At 45.5% G+C, this 18,976-nt stretch overlaps 1 long non-coding RNA gene across 1 annotated transcript in view, besides 2 other annotated features; it reads right to left on the bottom strand.

The window, feature by feature from the left end:
• Positions 1-18,976, bottom strand: part of LOC105378379 (uncharacterized) — a 112,024-nt gene that overhangs the window by 82,232 nt on the left and 10,816 nt on the right. The window lies entirely within an intron of this gene.
• Positions 17,311-17,812: an enhancer, noted in NCBI's record as "H3K4me1 hESC enhancer chr10:80491819-80492320 (GRCh37/hg19 assembly coordinates)". NCBI's record gives its function as "activates a minimal SCP1, AML or CMV promoter by ChIP-STARR-seq in primed H9 embryonic stem cells {active_cell/tissue: H9 hESC(primed)}" and the evidence as "EXISTENCE:reporter gene assay evidence [ECO:0000049][PMID:30033119]".
• Positions 17,813-18,312: an enhancer, noted in NCBI's record as "H3K4me1 hESC enhancer chr10:80492321-80492820 (GRCh37/hg19 assembly coordinates)". NCBI's record gives its function as "activates a minimal SCP1, AML or CMV promoter by ChIP-STARR-seq in primed H9 embryonic stem cells {active_cell/tissue: H9 hESC(primed)}" and the evidence as "EXISTENCE:reporter gene assay evidence [ECO:0000049][PMID:30033119]".

The raw sequence follows: 18,976 nt of genomic DNA on the forward strand, positions 1-18,976 counted from the left end.
CCTGGGGTGGAAGCAACTTGAGGTTGCATTAACAGAAGTAGAGAGTGTGGAACAAAGAAGGTCAAAGTTCCATTAAAGGACTTCCTAGTCAGGCCTCACCTGAGTCTTGTATTCAGTTCTCAGTTCTAAGATTGAGAAGGAAAACTGACAATCTCAAACATACTCAGATATAATTACAAGAGTAGAAGGGAGCTTTGCTGCTCTGCTTGAACAAAATTCAGAAGGTTCACGATTCCTATTTTCAACTCTTTAAAGGACTGTCAAGTGAAAGGGAGTAAACACAGTGTCTTCTACCCAAGAGTTAAAATTAGCATTAAATCCTCCTTATTTTGTGTCTTTCCATATTTTGAGCCAAAGAACAACAGTATAGCTGCCCAGAGTTGGAACAACTGCATTGGAAGGAAATGCAGAAGTGAGTTCCCCACAAGCAGAGGTATCCCAGCCGATGTTGGACACCAGCTTATAAGAGGTTTTCTCAAGGAGGCTTGAGCATTGGCTGAGTGATGAGAAGTCATGACTATACCAAGATCCCATTTGCCTCCACACATCTAAGTCTCCATGACAAGCGCATTCCCAGAAGACCCAAGGTGGGAGGAGGAGAGATGACAGTAGGAGGAGGAGACTGTCACAGTGTCCTGTGCAGCATGGAAGTGGAGGAGGAAGTAGAATGAGACTGGTCCACTGGTCTGGCATCTCAGGGGTCGCTGGTGACCTTTGAGAGAGCAGCAGGGCACTTTTCATTTCAAGGGATGCCACTCCCACTATCTCTCAAGTCTTCACCATGATACAGAAAACCATTTCCAAAATTAAATCTCCCTTGAGAGCACACATTAATAACACACCAAAGGATGCATAAATTACACCTACAAGTCATATTCCATTGCAGATGAATACATTGAATAATGTCACATTCCAGCCACATCAAAAGGCATACCATAATTAAGCTACCACAGGTGGCTTGAAGAGCAATGTTGGAAACGCTATGGACACACACAGCAATCTAGATTAACAAAGCCTGAAAAGTCTCCCAATTTGGAGCTGCACCATTGTAGTGTAGGATTAAAATTGTGGGTACTGGAGTCCTGGATTTTAACCCTGATCCCACCATATACCTGTTTTTAAACCTTGAGCAAGTTACTCAACCTCACTGAGCCTCAGTTTCCTGATCTGTAAAATGGGAAGCTAACATGGGGTTCTCAGTAGTGTTCATTCAAATAATGTATGCAAAATGCTTTGCACAAAATAAACACCTAACACAAGTCCACTATATTCTAGCTCTCACAGGCATGAGTCCGTGTGTTTGACTACAGCTTTATGTCAAAAATCACCCAACTGCTACTACCTGTTAGCTTCACACTTGTCATATGTTTACTTCAAGTGGGCATTCCTAGTTATTTTTAAGCTGAAATGTGATTGCTGCATTGACATCATGATTATAGTGCTCGTGGTTGATTGGGTGAAACTCTCCCACCTAAAGTGAGGGGATTGTCATCTGTTTTGATTCACGCTCTTAGCCTGAGAGGATGACTAATAATCAATGTCCCTTGTTCAACAAGTCAATCACTGAGCTATGTCTGGTTCATGATTATTTAGCAAGGCAGTGGCAGCGTGAAGGAAAAACATCAACTTGGATGTTGGCAGACTAGAATTTAAGTCTTTCATGTCCTCTCACGATGTGACTTTGGACAGTTCTCTCATCCTGACATATGATGACATCATCTGACCCTCATGACAACCCTGTAAGACAGGCATTATTAGCAGCCTACTTAGGAGAGTCACATTTTATCAAGCATTCTTTCATCCATCTCTCTGTGCATATATGCATGCAAATTCTGTAACAAACACGCTGTTTTGCTTATGGACACCTTAATTCACTTTTCCCCTTTTACTTATTTCTGTCTCCCACATCTCTCCTTTCCTCCTACTTTCTGACTTTGCCTTGCAATACATCTCTCCAAAGCCCAGGCTACCAGTACTAATAACCTGAAGTCTGTCCTCCACATGCCATCCTCAAGGGTCATATATCGTCATATATAAATGTACCTCTACTCTTGTTTTTGTGAAATGGGATCATATTTTACACCCTTCTCTGCATTAGAAACCCCTCTCTCCAGGTCAACTGGTGCATATTTTTTGAATGGTAGCACAGCCTTCCACACTATAGAATAGAGGTTCAGCTGGGATTACACCCACTCCCCTTCTGCTGGGCACTCACCTTGCTATCTCAGCTCCTACCCCATGACAGACAATGGTGTAATAAGCATCCCTGAACACACACACACACTATTCCTTTTGGGTGCTTTGATTCCACAAGCTAGATTTTAATATCTCTATTATTCAGAGAGGAAAACCAAGAGATATAGATGTTAGGGGTTTTGTCTAGAATCACACAGCCAGTAAGTGTCAGAAACTGTTCAAATGACTGGGCACTGTATTGCATGCAATTTATTCCATCTCACACTCTTCCTCTCCCTCCAACTGTTTACTGATAGAAATAAGTTTCTTTCCACCAAACTGAGTCAAGTCTTCCTCTGAATCCGCTCATCTCCTGGGCAGAGATGGCCAAGCATGTAGGAGTCAAAGAGTATCCCAGTGACTCTGGATGGAGAGAATTCAACGCGGACAAGCAGGAATTCAGTGCAGCTGCCAGTGCTGGCATGTGGCAAGGACTTAGGGAAGTCATGCTAAAAATATTTCATTTGCTCAATAAATAAGTATCGAACACCAACAGTGCTCCAGGCTAGCGGGGAGCCAACTTTGTTTCAGCCCTCTCTGAAGGTGGCATGAGCAGCCTAGGGCCTAATTCATTTCCATGTAGGGGACCTCAACATCAGGCTTGGGGTTTCTGAGTGTGCTGTCAAGGGACTTCAAGTTCCCTGTGATTGGTTGGACCAGACTGGCCCCAAAATTCTGTGACCCTGTTCCTGAGCCAACTGTCTTCATCGGTGGACTGGGGAAAGGAGAAGTTTACAGGATTGGGCCTAAGGGGTCTTGTATGTCAATCTACCGTCTTACTAATGAGAAAACGAAGGCAACAAAGGGACTCCTGCATAGTGTTCCAGGGAACTGGTGAGAGGGTGGGGACATGAATCTAGGGCTCCAGGCTTTATTGTTCTTTGTTCTTGATTGTCGTTATTGCAGTTAATGTGGACCTGCATTCTTTTCCTCTCTACAAATCCTGATGATCTCTATGTTCTGAATGTTTGTCTCCCTCCAAAATTCATATGTTGTGACTGAATTCCCAGTGTAATCATATTAAGAGGTGGGAACTTTGGGAGGTGATTAGGAGAATGGGATTAGAACCCTTACAAGGAGGCCAGAGGCAGCCTGCTCCCCACTTCTGCCAGGTGAGGACACATAGAAAGCACCACCTTTGGGGAGGAAAGTGAACCCTCACCACACATCAAATCTGCTGGCGGCTTGACTTCAGACTTCCCAGTTCCAGAACTGTGAGCAATGCATTTCCATTGTTTATAAATTCCCCAGTCTGAAGGATTTTGTATAGCAGCCTAAACAGACTCAGACATGAGCTGCACACAGATTAAAATTACGAGCTACAAGGCCCACTCAGGCCTGAGTTTGATTTTCAGCTCTCCTACCTATTGGGTGGCCTCAGGAGACTTATTTACCCTCTGTGGGTTAGGAAGAGTAGCCAGTCCCCTAGGCTCCTGAGGCTTCAATGAAGCAGTGACTTAAAAGAGCTTAGCAGGAAGCCTACCACATAGTATGCACTCAATTAACATTGGCTGCATGCTTTCTTTCCTATGTCCTGCTTTAAATTCTTGCAAAACCTCTCTGTGTTTCCCAAAGCCTCTGATACAACTTTTTTCCCCAAAAAATACTTCTTTTGTTGTATGTGTAGACATGGGCCCTGTCTATGAAGCGATTCCAAACCCTATTTTGCAGCCTTTCATCCACTGAACCCCTGAGGAGTTGCTAGCCTGCACTTAACTTCTCCAGAAGCAACATTCTGCTGACCACTTTCTGGTGAGCACAGCAATGAACTTGTCAAGGAGCCAGCCAGGAGGAGTGGGAGCCAGGGAGGCAGGTGTGCACAGGCCAGGCAGGAATGGGGCCATCCATCTCCATCCTTTTCTCCATGTCCAAGTGTAAAGGGATTGTGTCTACAAGCCTGTCTCCGCCAACCTCGGGGAAGAAGCCAAGTCATTTCATCTGAAATTTTTACTTCCACCACAAGGGAAGGTTCCAGGGCAATTAGAACTATTGTAATTTCTTATTAAGGTCAAAAACAAATTGTAGGTATAGCCCATGAGTCACCTTCCTACACAGAAACAAATGAAATCTTCTAAGCGAATTGGTGAGCCTGTGTGTCCCACCCTTAATAATTGGGGAAAAGGGAGGGTACTGCCATCTCCTTCCTGCCTCTGAAATGCTCACTTTTTTTGGAAACCCAATAAAATTAATTCAAAGCATGGATTAATAATTCATCTTGATATGTAAATAATTCATCATGAAAGTAGCCATATCACATTTTCACATTTTGAAGCCTATGCACTCCTTTATCGTGGGAGAGATGGATTTCCCCAGTTGACCTGCCGGAGTGGGTAAGGGACTGGGCACTCAGCCGCCCACACCTCAAGGATGCCAGAGCCCAGATCCAAGCCCGATGCCTACTTCGAATCCAGCAGCAAAGATGTTTGTGGCTGCAGTGACCTAAGGTGGCCTGCTGAAGTCAGGATGCTTCTTAATGACCAGAGGGACTTGCTTGCCAGGTCTTTGGCCTCACCAGGATGTAAAAGGAATTCCTGTCGTGATCAAGCTCGCCACTGCTGATTACATTTTGGTCCTCCAGGAGGGCCTCCGAACGATGGCCTATCAATTATGCATTCCCCAACACACCTCACAGCCTGGCTTTCATGAAGGTCCTGTCTGAGCAGGTATCCCCCGCATCATTTCTGGGGAAGAGAAAAGAAATGGGGCACTGTCACCTGACAACCTCCTAAGAGCTGGGTGCAAAGGCCTAAGTGAGATGAGGGAGAAGTTGAGCTGGTCTGGAGGCTTCTCTCTCAAACCCCATGGGGACCAATAAGGGGTCTGGACCACCCTCTGTTGCACGTATGTGGCTCTGGGGTGCAGCAGCCTCTCAATGTGTGCTCTAAGCTGGAGTCTGAGCTTATAAAGGACCCTAGAGTGCAGGTAACGCCAGCAGAGCTGCCCTCGTTTGAAAGATGAGCAATCTGAGGCTCGGAGAGGCACAAGCCTGGGGAATGTTGGCCTGGTAGGCTCTGGCTGGGCTTGAAATAGTCTGTAATCTGGTTGGAAAATCATTCCTGTATCTACTATTTCCCCATGATGGTGGATCCCCACTGATGCTGTGCATTCATTCATGGAGGTCTAGTTCAGAGCCAGACCCAGGCTCAGGGCTGGGGGCTGGGGGATGATGCAGAACCCCTTTTTGTGCCAAAGGAGCTTCCACTCTCAAGTTGGGGGAGGACTCCTAACAAAATCTGGGTGGTGACAGGGTTGTGCCATAGGATGGACAAGACCAACAGCCACACTACAAGCTGGCCTCGGCATCCCTCTCTGTTCACCCCCATTACCCTCCCTCACTCACTGCACGTCGGCCACAGGGGCCTGTGGTCAGTCACTCCCCAAAGCCCCTCCCACGTGGCATGGCTCCTACGGCGCTTCAGGTGGCTGGGTCACTTCACCTTTCAGGTCCTCCTAGCTCAGCTCATCTGACAGAGCTCCCACCCAACTGCTTTTCCTCAGAGCACCTATCACAATTTGTCATCTAGCTCATGTTCCCTCTGCCACTGGACTGCAAGTTCCCTGAGGGCAGGCACTGTGCCCAATTTGTACACTGTTGTAGCCCATCCCATAGCACAGTTGAAGCTCAATGAATGTTGAACAAAAGAATGAACGAACGAATGCAAGGCAGACCCTGAAGCATGTCAACAGAAAGTTAAAACTAAACAGCCCCAAGAGGGCTGAGATGAGATCCTCCACCTGGGAGATCTGAGACAGCTTCATGGAGGAGGCTGCATTGGAGCTTTGGGGATTCTCTGGCTCTTTTAGAAGTCCAAGGACTATGTATTCATTCTCAGTGGGGAGCAGAATTCCACAACTGTTCATGTACATTATTCAAATGTCAAAAAACTTGGGAAACACAGAAGTAATTGGTAGGTTTCTAGTTGAGCTTGGAATGGGAGTATGTGATTGCTGGGAGGGGGTCTTGGGTGTAGACAGGTGCAGGCTAGGGCAGAGTTTGGTGGTATAGCCCCTCTCTCTCCCTACCAGAGCATATCTCTCAGAGATCATGATATTTGTCAAGGATGAGGTCAATGTCTTTTCTCTGGGCAGTCCTGATGGGGACCAACACAGGCTTTCTACCTTCCTTTTATATACACAGGCTTACACGTGCCCACACCATGCCCACATCACATCCTTCACAGCAAGAGAAAAGAGGGCAGCCTGATACTTCTTGGCCTCAATATGCAAATTTATAGCTTGGGGACTTAGTAGTCCTGGCTCTGCAGCTTCAGGGAGAAAGTCTGGGATAATCATCAGAGACCATACATAGGGAAGGCAGATGTGGGATTTCTCGTGCCCCTCTGGGATGAGGGTACTTGTCCTAACACAGTTTTTTATGAATATCCTAGTGTGTTTGTGGTGTATTTCACCCCCCAAGCAACCTCATCATTCCTCAGAGGTGAGCCATGATCTGGAAGAAGAAGTACTGGCTTTGAATCCAATCCCAGCTCATGTAAGTGTTACCAATTCCCTTGCTTTGTGACATCTCTGAACTTCAGTATCTTCATCTGCAAAATGACAACTCCCTGAAAGTACTGCTGTGCCTTCCAGAAATTAGCATTAAAAAATTTTGTCAACTGCCCCATCTTAGAAACCAAAGGAGATGATCAAAACTGGCGTGGGGGAGAAGGGAGTGGAGAAAATGGAAACCAACAAAATAGAAAAATAAGTACCCAGTTAGCCCAATTAAGAAAAATAATAAAGACAAAACAGTACTCAAAATTAGGATTGGGAAAGGGAATATGACCATTGGTATCATATGGAAGATGTTATAAGACTAATATAAAACTATATATACCAACAATGTAAAAAATTTGAAGTCAAAATCAAATGCACAATTTTCTATGAAAATATAAGTTGTTAAAATTAACTTTAAAAAATAAAAATTTTATCAGACAAAAGTCTGGAATAATTTGGGGGGAAAATTCATGAATCACAGCTCTAAACAATTTTCATCTTTTTAAAAAAGCAAAAGGCTCAAATAGTTTTATATAGAGTATTTCTTCCTTCAAAATTTCAGAGAATAAGTAATTTTCAAGCTATATAAACTATTACAGGATATTTAAAAAAAGATGAAACCCAATTCTTTTTTCAAATTAGAGTATGATTAATAACCATTGGTATAGTTTGGACCTGTGTCCCCACCCAAATCTCATGTTGAAATGTAATCCTCAATGTTGGAAGTGAGGCTGGGTAGAAGGTGATTGAATCACAGGGGCAGATTTCTCATGAATGATTTAGTACCATCCCCTTGTACTGTCCTCAAGATACTGAGTTAGTTCTGAGGAGATCTGGTCGTTTAAAGGTGTGTAGCACCTCCCTTCCACCCACAGCCTTGCTCCTGCTTTCACTATGGAAAGTGCCTGCTCCTGCTTTGCCATTGCCATGAGCAAAACCTCCCTGAGGCCTCCCCAGAAGCACAGGCTGCCATGTTTTCTGTACAGCCTGTGGAGCCGTGAACCAATTAAATCTCTTTTCTTGTAAATTACACAGTCTCTGCTACTTTGTTAGAGCAATGCAAGAATGGCCTAACCCAACCATGTTTGAAAAAATCATAAATAAAAGATAAATCGGCCGGGCACAGTGGCTCACTCCTGTAATCCCAGCACTTTGGGAGGCTAAGGCGGGCAGATCACTTGAGGTCAGGAGTTCGAGACCAGCCTGGCCAACATGGTGAAACCCCTTCTCAACTAAAAATATTTTAAAAATTAACTGGGCATGGTGGTGGGTGCCTGTAATCCCAGCTACTCAGGAGGCTGAGGCAGGAGAATCACTTGAACCCGGGAGGCAGAGGTTGCAGTGAGCCGAGATCATGCCACTGCACTACAGTCTGGGCAACAAGAGTGAAACTCTGTCTCAAAAAAAAAAAAAAAAAAAGATAAATCTGTAGGATAATATCATCAGTGAATTTACATTTAAAAATGCTAAATAAATATGTATGTATTTCAGATTTCAGAAATATATTAAAAATCATGGAGTATGATTAAGTAGGGTGTAATCTGGTAATGCTAGGTTTGAAATCTATTAACATAATTTATCGAGTTAAAAATAATAAGAGAAAACATGATTGTACATTTGCAGTCCTATTAAAATATATTTACATAAGACATTCCAAAAAGAAAAATTGTTAAACTGGACTTCACGATAAAAAACTTTTGCCCTTCTAAATACCATTGAGAAAATAATATGATCCACAGACTAGGAGAAAATATTTGCAAGTCACATATCTGATAAAGGACATGTATACAGAGTATAAGAAAAATTCTTACAACTTAATAAGAAGGTAAACAGCATAGTTTTTAAAAAGGCAAAATATTTTAACAGACCCCTGACCAATGTAGATATATGAACTGTCAATAATCATATGAAAATAGGCTCCCATCATTAGTATTAAGAATATATAAATTTAAATTAAAAGATATCACTACACGCCTGGCTCTAATCAAAAGGACTGACAATGCCAAATGTTGGAAAGAATGTGGAGAAACTGGAACCCTCATCCATCGCTGTGGGAATATAAAATAGTACAGCCACTTGGGAAAACAGTTTGACAGTTTCCTAAACATGCATCTGACATGCAAACCAACAATTCTGTGCTTAGCCATCTACCTAACTGGGATGAAAACATATGTTCACATAAAGACTTGTCCAAGAATGTTCACCACAGTATTATTCATAATAGCTCAAAACTGGAAACAACCCAAACGTCCATCAACTAGTGAATGGATAAACGGGTACACTCATTCAGCGGAATACTTTTCAACAATGAAAAAGGAATGGATTACTGATACATGCAACAACATGGTGACCCTCAGAAACTTCAGATGCCAGATACAAAAGTCTCTATGTCTTATGATTCCACTTATCTGTAATTTCTAGAAAAGGGACCAAAAGAGACAGAAAGCAGGTCCGTGTTTGCCTGGGGCTGGGTGTGGGAGCTGAGACTGACTACAGAGGGACAAACAGAGAAAGTTCAGAGGTGATAGAAGTGTTCTAAAACTTGACTGTGGTGAGAAGTTACCAGCTGTGTAAGTTTACTAAAACTATCCAACTGTACCCTTAAAATGGGTGGATTTTATAGTATGTAAATTATACCTCCAAATGCTATTTTTAAGTGTTTCTGAAAGGTTACTGTAGTAGTCTGTTTTGTGCTTCTATCAAGGCATACCTGAACTTGGCTAATGTGTTAGGTTGGTTCAAAAGTAATTGCATGGCCCTGGCGTCTGCTTCTGGGCAGGATCTCAGGAAGCTTTCACTCTTGGTGGAAGATGAAGTGGAAGCAGGCGTGCCACATGACGAGAGACGGACAAGAGAGGGAAGGGAGGAGGTGCCAGGCTCCTTTTAACAATCAGATCTCGATATCATATGAACAAACAGAGTGAGAACTCACACATTACCATGGGAGGGCACTGAGCCACTCATGAGGGATCCACCACCGTGGATCCCTCCAGGGAAACACCCCCCGCCAGATCCCACCTCCAACACTGGAGATCACATTTCAACGTGAGATCTGCAGGGCACAAATATCCAAACTATAGCAGATCTATAGCATGCAGATAAGTTGTTTTCTTTAATCCTAAAATGATTTGTTTATTTTGTTGTTGGGTTGTTCATACTTTTTCCTCTCAGTGAGCATATACAATTGTAACATTTTTTTTTAAGTTCGCCCAAAGAGAACACCATGAGAATGACAGGAGATACAGTTCCTCAAACAATTTCTGCCATGGGGTAGAGTGGATGCTTGATAAAGAGAATGTTCCCTGTTTATACAAAAATCCCCTTCATTCCAGGCACCACTATAGCTTTCTGATCCACCCTAGACACGCCAGGGCAGCATTAGAGGCTGTAGCCCACCTGAGTGACTGACAGATGCTTATGCCTTCAGAGGGATGCTCTTTCCTCACCACCCACCATCTCATCTGCAGGATCCTTTATGACTGCTCTTAACAGGCTAGCCTGCCAAAGATGCTCCCTTCCCCAGTGATTCCTGGGCTCCTACCACCCATTCCCCGGCCGCAGTCGTAACAAGCTACTGTGATAGCAGAATTGTTTGCCTCAGAAAAAAAAAACAAAACAAAACTATAATGTCACAACAAACAGAAGCTCATGGGTTTGGCAGGTAGAGTGCAGGCTGTGCAGCAGCAAACTAGATGGAGGAGAGGTTGCTGGGATCTTCTGTCACAAACACCCCTGGGGATGGGGTAGAGGATCAGAACCAGGGACACTTAAGTTTTGCTGGTAGCAAATCCTAAAGTACGGGCTCTGGGATTGATCAGTCAACCTTGCCACTTACTTGAGCAGGAGCTGAGCCTTTCTGAGCCTCTGTTTCTCAGTTGCCTTCCAAACCTTTTGTGAAAACCATTTTAGAAGACAAGAAAGTCTGTTGTAGCATGCTGCTCAGATTTTTAGTGACAATACTTGCTCTAACTCTTCCTGGGAGTGTGGTGAACTCTGGGAATCAGATTATAGCTCAGGTTGGGCATAACCCTCCAACGATGGGAATTGTCCCAAACGATGGGGTCTCCAATGATGTAGTGTATTTGAAGTCACTGGGGGGAATGATTGGGGGTCAGGGTAGGTAAAGTCCAACAAGAGCGTTCTAGCCAAAGGGAATATTACCAAAACCCTGTCATTGTGGGAGGGTGGAATATTAGGGACTAGACTTAATCTTCTGCTGTAAACAACTAGGAAAATGGAACAAATATATGAAACAACACTTTCTAGGATGAGACAAGGGCACTGATTCCTGAGAGTAGGGCAGGGGAGAAGTGAATCCCACAATTATCCAGGCCTTCTGGCTGTGAGCCCCTCGCTTTCTGCCTAGAGATGAGTTCCAGATCAGAGGCACAGGAGGAAGTCAGACTTCATAGCCTCACTGAATTGAAGAGACAGAAATGGAAGTTCAGGAAGGCTGAAATGGCTGGAAGTTGCAGGACATATTTCCAGAAGAGAAGAACTAACTCAAAAAAAGCTCCAGAAATCTGCAGAGCTATCCCCTTGATGTGTACTAGGCCTGCTTGCATAGAATGAAATGCCACAAAACCAGGCAAACAACCAATGGGGAGTCGTAAACCACACAACTCCCAGAGTTCACACAGGGCAGAGAGACATTGGAAGTCTGGCAAGGAGAATGGAGAGTCCTCAGTGATCACCTGGGGCATTCAGTGGGGCCTCAGAGGAATTGCACCTAAACATTCAGCCTAAACCATCCCAACAGTGAGGGTGACTCCAGACCTGCCCTGGCAACTCCCAGAAACAGGCTGGAAGCAATCTAATAATCCACAAGCAGCTCAACTGCTTTCCGGAACAAAATCCAGACACTCAGCAGCACACAAGTCACCATGTCCATCATCCACTACCAATTACCAGACATACCAAGAAGCAGGAAAGTGCGGACTATAACCAGAAGGAAAATCTGTCAAAAGAAAGAGATGAGAAATAGCAGAGATGATGGAGCCAGCAGACGAGGACTCTGAAACAGCTATTGTGTTCAACCATCTAAAGGAAAACAGGGACACAAGAAAGACAAAAGTAGGAGAAATCAAGAAGAAGACTCCAAAGATAAAAATTGCTCTATCTGAAATGAGTATTTCACTAGATTAAATTAACAATGGATTAGATCCTACCAGGAAAAGGCTCAGTAAACTTAAAGACTTAGAGAATAAATTTATCCTAAGGGAAGTGCAGATACTGAAAAACCAGCAGAGCCTCAGTAAGCTATGGGACAATACCAAACAGCCAAACATAAGCATGAAAGGGAGAGAGGCAAAAAAAAAAATGCATAAAATAATGGCTGAACATTTCCAAATTTGATGAAATGTATAAGCTCACATACCCAAAAAGGTCAATGAACCCCAGGAAGGATAAACACAAAGGAAACCAAGCCACAACGCATTACAAACAAATTGCTGAAACCAATGATAAAGAAAAAAATGATAAAGCAGTCAAAGGGGGTAAAAAGATAATTTATAGAGAGAGGGACAAAAGCTTGAAATCATTCTGAAAGGCCTGGGAAGCAGTTTCCAGAGAAAAGATTGAGGGTTGGGCAAAACCCAATCATACTGGCCAGATGGAGGGGCTTGGACTTGATTCAAAGGGTGGTAGGGGGCAGGAGGGCTTTAGATGGGGGCTGGGGAGTGCTGTCTTCAGATCTGTGTGGAGGGAGGTGCACTCCAGCCTCAGTGTGAAAAACTGTCGGAAAGCCCAGGCAAGGCACCCATGGAATGGGGCAGTGACAGAGAGGACAGCACAAGTGCACCAACCAAGAGGTATTTAGGAAGTGGGGTCCTCTGGACTTGGGGTGGACAACAGACAGCAGGAGGAAGCATTGCCTCTGGCTGGGCCGTAAGCAATGGGTGGACATGGCACCATGGAGACAGGAACACAGGGATGATAGAGTTGGGGAGAGAATGAGTTCAGTGCCGGACAGCTCCCATTGAATGTGCTGTGGTGCAGGTCCTGCAGAAGTGTCTGGTGGGCTCATAGATGTGCACTTGGCAAAGATGGCAGAGACCAGGGCTTCTCCAATGGAAGTGCATTCAACTCACCCTGCCACCTGGAGACCTTGTTAGGAAACAGACTCCAATTTAGTCTGTCTCTTGTAGGACAGGATCTGCATTTCTCTAAGGGGCTCCCATGATGTTGATGGTTGATATACCACAGTTACAGGAGCAAAGGTAGAGCACACACCACACAGAAGAGGTATTTTGTTGTTAATATTTCTCTTGTTCTCACCCCCACTCTGTATTTCCAGAGGCAGAGATGTTCTCTCTCTCTAAAGAAAGCAAAAAACAAAAACAAAATCTCTATCCTCTCTATCAGCCACCACCCACCCTCCCCCTCCAAACAGACAAGTGTCAGGCAACTGGCTGCTTTCCAAATTTCCCTGCCTGGCTCACCCGCTCTTAAAATACCCTCAGTCATAGATGCTTCTAGAATGTGAGCTGACCTGGAACACTGCGTCAAGGGCAGCAAAGCTTTCAAGCAGTTTCCTGGAACAAAAAAAAGAGAGAGAGAGGAGTGTCTCTGAAAATTAGACTTAGCATATCGCACAAGGGGCAAAGAATAGAGAGACTGGATTTGTTGGAAAGAATGCCAGCTGCCTGCCTAATGCACCTCGCTGCATCTCAGTCTTTTCGCCCATAAAACAGAGGCCATGGCACCCACCTTGCAAAGTGCTTGTGAGGAGGAAGCAAGATTTCACATGTGAACTGGTGTCTCTTCAGAATGGCCTGGCCTCAGGGTCAGCTGCACCTGGGCTCCAACCCTGGTCCCATCGCCTATTATAGAAGCAGTTCTTAAACATCTGTATAAACTTCTCTGGGCCACTTATCAAATAAGGATAGCAAAAGTCACCACACAGGGGTGTGACAATGACAAAATGAGTCCAGTCCACAAGGTACCTAGCACAACATCTACACATAACAGGAGCACAATTTGTGCTAGTTGCTTCCTCCACCTTCCTCTGCTGGAGACAATTTGTTAAGAATTCACAAAGACCCCTGTTTATCCCTCCCGTTATTTTTAACATTGCATAAATTGCTTGCCATTCTCTCTTCTCTCTCTCCCATTCCCCCTTTGACAGGCTTCCCACAATCCCACCTACATGAGGCTGAGAAATTCAAAAGGAAAAATAACCTTTGGTGTAGATTAGCAGATGATAACACAATGCCAAGTCATTTTCTCATCAGGCATTCCTGATGGCATCGGTGCTGTGGCTGGCTGCCCCTGCCTATCACCCTTCTCTGTGTCAAGGCACATCTCCCACCCTGGTGCCCAATTAAACTATCCAGTTTCCAGAGTCCACTCACTGGGACCCCTCAGAGCCCAAGGCAAAAAATGTGCCCAGTTTGTGAAAAAGGAAATCAAAGCACAACTACAAAATGCTAGACGGTCTCCAGAACCAAAGGTGACTTAAGAGCTCTGAGCTTCCAGCCAAATTAGCCACTGGATCCACAGGCAGGAAGATCCTTAAAAGACTTCAAATGGGCATGTCCCAAGCTAGATACTGCCTGCCTCAGTGGCTGCATCACTGCAGAACGGGTTTCTAGTTCCCCCACTGGCCCTAGTTTAGATAGTAAGAGATCTTCCTTGGACACAGCCCTCGGGTTGATTCAGATGGGTGGAAGGCAGGGAGGGCCAGGAGAAAGCCAGGTCCAGAGACCAAGATGTGGGCTGCTGAGCCCGTGCCCGCAATATTGGCTGCTGCCCCACTATGGAGGATGGGAGGGGGGATGAGAGGTCTTGGAGATAGGGATCCCATGGATGACAAAGGTGCTTCAAACACCCCTGCAGGAATAAGTCACCTGGGTTTAGATGCAAAGGAGGCCAGGCATGAAGGGTGGCTTTAGACAAGGCATTGAGCTGCTCTGCACCTTGGATTCCCTTCTGAGAAAGTGGCCAGTCACCATTATGAGCACTACTGATCTGAACTGCAGAGAGAGAGAGAGAGGTCCCTGGGCTAGTGAGCAGTGACCGGGTTATGCTTATGTGCTTGAGTGAGCAGGAACACAAAACAGGGCACTGCCTCCCAGCGGCAACCTCCACTGACATGTTGGACAAGACGTTCAACCCCTTCCCCGAGGCCAAAATGACACTTGTCCTCCAAAACCAGCCCCTTCTCAGTATGGAAACCTCCCCATGGGGTCACAAGATGGGTAAATGGCACATGATTGAAACGCTTGGGTTCTTCGTCCCGGGAGGCAGTCATGTCCTCCTCCTGATTTTTGGCACTTTGCGACCTCAGCCCATAAGGACTCTTTGGTGACTCTTCAGTGAGTCCATATGGGCTGAAGCTTTACTAAAGAGCTTAGCCTCGAGTCCTTCTCCTTCATCCAGCATTAACAGGTAGAAATATCTAGAACTGTATAAATTGTACAAATTACCAGGAAAGAGAGAAGTGGCATTTGTGGTCTTTGAGTGTCTAGCAGTCCCTCCCCTTCCCTAGCCATGCCCTGATATCTTTTTATTTTTAGTGTAACTGCCATAGAGAAAAGTGAGCAAAGTCACGAATGAGCACAAAGTGTCCCTCCTATGTAAACACCACCCAGGTCTCAACTTAAAAAAAAACAGCTTTATTGAAATACAATTCACAAGCCATATAATTCACCCATTTAAAGTGTAGAATTCAATGCTTTTCAGTAAATTCAGACTACTGCAATCACCACTACAATCAATTTTGGAATATTTTCATCACCCTAAAAAGAAACTCCAAACCATTTAGCTCTTACTTCCTCAATCACCTTCATCCATTCTGGCCTAGAAAACCACTAATCCACTTTCTGTCTCATGGATTTGCCTATTCTGGATATTTTATAGAAATGGAATCACACCATATATGGTCTTCTGTGTCTGACTTCTTCCATTTAGTAGAATGTGTTCTGTGTTCATCCATGTTGTTCATCCATGTTGTAGCATATATCAGTCCTTCATTCCTTTTTAAGGCTAAGTAGTATTCCATCATGTGGATGCACATTTTATTTGTCCGTTTGTCAGTTAAGGGACTTCTGGGTTGCTTGCACTTTAGGGCTCTTGTGGATTATCCTGCTAGGAACATTTGTGTACAAGTTTCTACCTGGACATATGTCTTCATTTATCTTGGGTATGTACCTAAGAATGGAGTTGCTGAGACAGATGGTCACTTTGTGTTTAAGTTTTTGCCAAGTCAGATGGTAACTTTGTGTTTAAGATTTTGCCAATTTCCTTTTGAGGAACTAGTTCTTTTCTACCAGATAGAGTCTCACAGGGCGGGTACAGATCCAAATCAAGCCCACCTTTCTTGGTTCTGGCCAATTTCCCAGTCTGCATCCCTAGCTTTTCTATTGATCCTGAGAGTCCTAAATATCCTTCCACAAATTCCTCGTCGGCGAGGTTAACCGGGGCTGCTTTCTGGGGCTTGCGTTCAAAGCAACCTGTCTGATGAAGCTTCTCACTCAGAGCCTGTGGACTGTCGGTGGGCAGCTCTGATTAGAGGGTGCTGCGGCACAGCAGGCAGGCCTGACATCACACAGGGCAGGGTGGCTGTGGTACTGGATTGCCAAGGTTTAGAGAAGGAATCCAGAACAATCTGCCAGATCCAACAGGGGACACCTTAGTAAAAAGCCTTGTGGGGGCTGCAAAGTTCTGTATCTGACCCCGGGGGTCCTCTATCACATCCCCTTGGCACACCTTCGATTTCAGCTTCTTGGACAGTTCTGCGCATGCTCAGACTCACCCTGCGCTGTAAGCATCTCCCCTCCAGCACAGCCAAGCAACTCTCCCTAGCCTGTCCCTTAACCTCCCCAAGCACTGTAAGGGATCACTCATCGAGGTATAGGGAGTTTGGGGCCCAGAGTTAGTGCATAAATGTCCCAGGCTCTCAGACAATTCAGAGGAGTCTCCTGTGCTTCCAAGAAGTCCTAGTGAAACTGAGCTCTACTGTCTATGGCAGTGGCCTCATTTGAGTGCCCTGATATTGGCTTTCTCCTTTCGTAATGTACTTCCCTGCTTCTCAAGATCACTTCCTAAATAAACCACTGACACTCAAATCTTTGTGCCAGCATCCACCATTTGAAGAATCCAAACTAAAACAATATGCAAGAGCTCTTTAAGAAACAGTATGGCTCCACAGTACACACAGGAGACAAGAATGCTGGGCTAGGAGTCAGGATCCTGGGGCCCAAACTCTGGCTCCATGGGGCTCAAGCAGACCCTAAGATCCCTGTAAAACATTCTCCTTGGAGAAGTAGTCAGTGACGGCTTCTGCTCCCCATAAAGTTCTGAGTCTTAAGAGACGGTGTCCCTGACCCTGCCTTGGGCATTGCAGTGTCTTCTTGGGTCTTAGGTCTCAGCTATCACTCTGCAGCCAGACACCTCTGCATCTTGCCAAGGACTCCAGCTGCTTAACCCATTTCCAGAACCTGTGGCTCTGCAGGAAGACAGGGCTAAAGCTGTGGTGGCTTGCTGTAACCATTTCGAGTCCTCACTGAGGTCATTCTTTGCAAAGGCCATTTGCAGCCCTGAGCAGTGGCCATACTCCACAAACCAGCCCCCTAGATATTCATATCATTCCACTCAGTAAACCCCACCTCCAGACCTGGCTCATTTTCAGATAATGGGACAGGGTTCCTGCATATGATAAACTGGCCTTATCATAGTCCAAAAGTTTTGAAAGCACTAGATTCCAAGCCTACCTCTGCCTCATTCATTCATTCATTTGTTCATTCAATTATGGCATTTATTTAAACCTAGCCGCTTTCAGCCCCTGCATGGGGCCAGGGTACATAGCAAAGAATAACAGATTCTGCTCAAAAGGAGTTAGTCTTGGGGCAAGGCTAACTTGGGAATTGCAGTACAGGGTGGCGAGTGAAGGGAGGGGTAGGGAGGAGTGGGCAACAGAGGGGACTGAAGAGGTGCAATGTAGCAAACATTTCCATGCCTCACTCCGCATCTCCCTAGCCCATGGTGTGCTCCAGTCATTGCTGCAATCATCAGTTGCCCATGGATGTGGCCTGACAGCACCGAAGCCCAGCTGCACCATGTTCTGCTCCCTGTCCCAGAGCCTCTCTGCCACCACCGGGTGGATGGAGCCCCCAAAGGAGCCCACTCAGCCATGCTGGCACATCTGAAAGGTCAACATCCCCGGGCAGCCAGTTGCAGTGGCTCACGCCTGTAATCCCAACATTTTGGGAGGCTGGGGTGGGTGGAACACCTGAGGTCAGGAGTTCGAGACCAGCCTGACCAACATGGTGAAACGCCGTCTCTACTAAAAATACAAAAATTAGCTGGGAGTGGGGGAGGGCACCTGTAATCCCAGCTACTTGGGAGGCTGAGGCAGGAGAATCGCTTGAACCCGGGAGGCAGAGGTTGCAGTGAGCCGAGATCACACCACTGCACTCCAGCCTGGGCAACAAAGCAAGACTCTTATCTAACAAAAAAAAAAAAAAAAAGCCATCCCCTTGGCAGCCATGGGCCAATGAAGGGGCCTGAAGGAACAGCTGGAGAAATGTTCCCATGTTTGTTATCTAGGATGTAAAAATTCTCAGGCACATTCCAGAAGGTTCTTCAGAGCGTCCCCAGTTGCTCGCAGCTGTAACTGGTTGGACAATACATTCTTGGACTGGCTTCTTCTCCTCTTCTTTCTGTTTCACTTTTTTCAGTCTGCCCACCGTGGGATCACTTCCCAAAATAAAATACCTGCATGAAAGCCATTGACCTAGGATCTAGTTGTGGGGCTGGGGTGGGAAGGGGAAAGTGGAACAAGCTAAGACAGGCAATTAACCCCATCTTAAGGTTGTCAGGAAGAATTCCTGGAGGAAGTGACTCCTGAAGCCTGTGTAGGGGTGGGCTAAGTGAAGAAGGAGGATGCCCAGGGCTTCCCAATCCCAGCCAAGGGTCAGACACCAAGAGCAAAGCCATAGCTGTGACAGACAACACTGTGTCTCCTGTGACCTGTGCACGGTTCACCCAGGTGTGGGGGGCCGTGGTGAGAGGTAACACTGGAGAAAAGGGCATGACTAGGTCTTGAGGACCTTGAGTGCACGCCGTGGATATTATTGTGGAAGCAAAGGGGAACCATGGAAATAATCATAAAAAGTCACAGCCTCCCCATACAAGACATGCATCTGTGTCTGCCTTATACAGCACTAACTAAGCGCCATGCACCATTTAAAGTACTACAATCCTCATGGAAGCTAGCTAAGGGGCTACTAGTGTCTTCCTCATA

This window comes from Homo sapiens, chromosome 10 (assembly GCF_000001405.40).
Source record: "Homo sapiens chromosome 10, GRCh38.p14 Primary Assembly".
Classification (NCBI taxonomy): domain Eukaryota; kingdom Metazoa; phylum Chordata; class Mammalia; order Primates; family Hominidae; genus Homo; species Homo sapiens.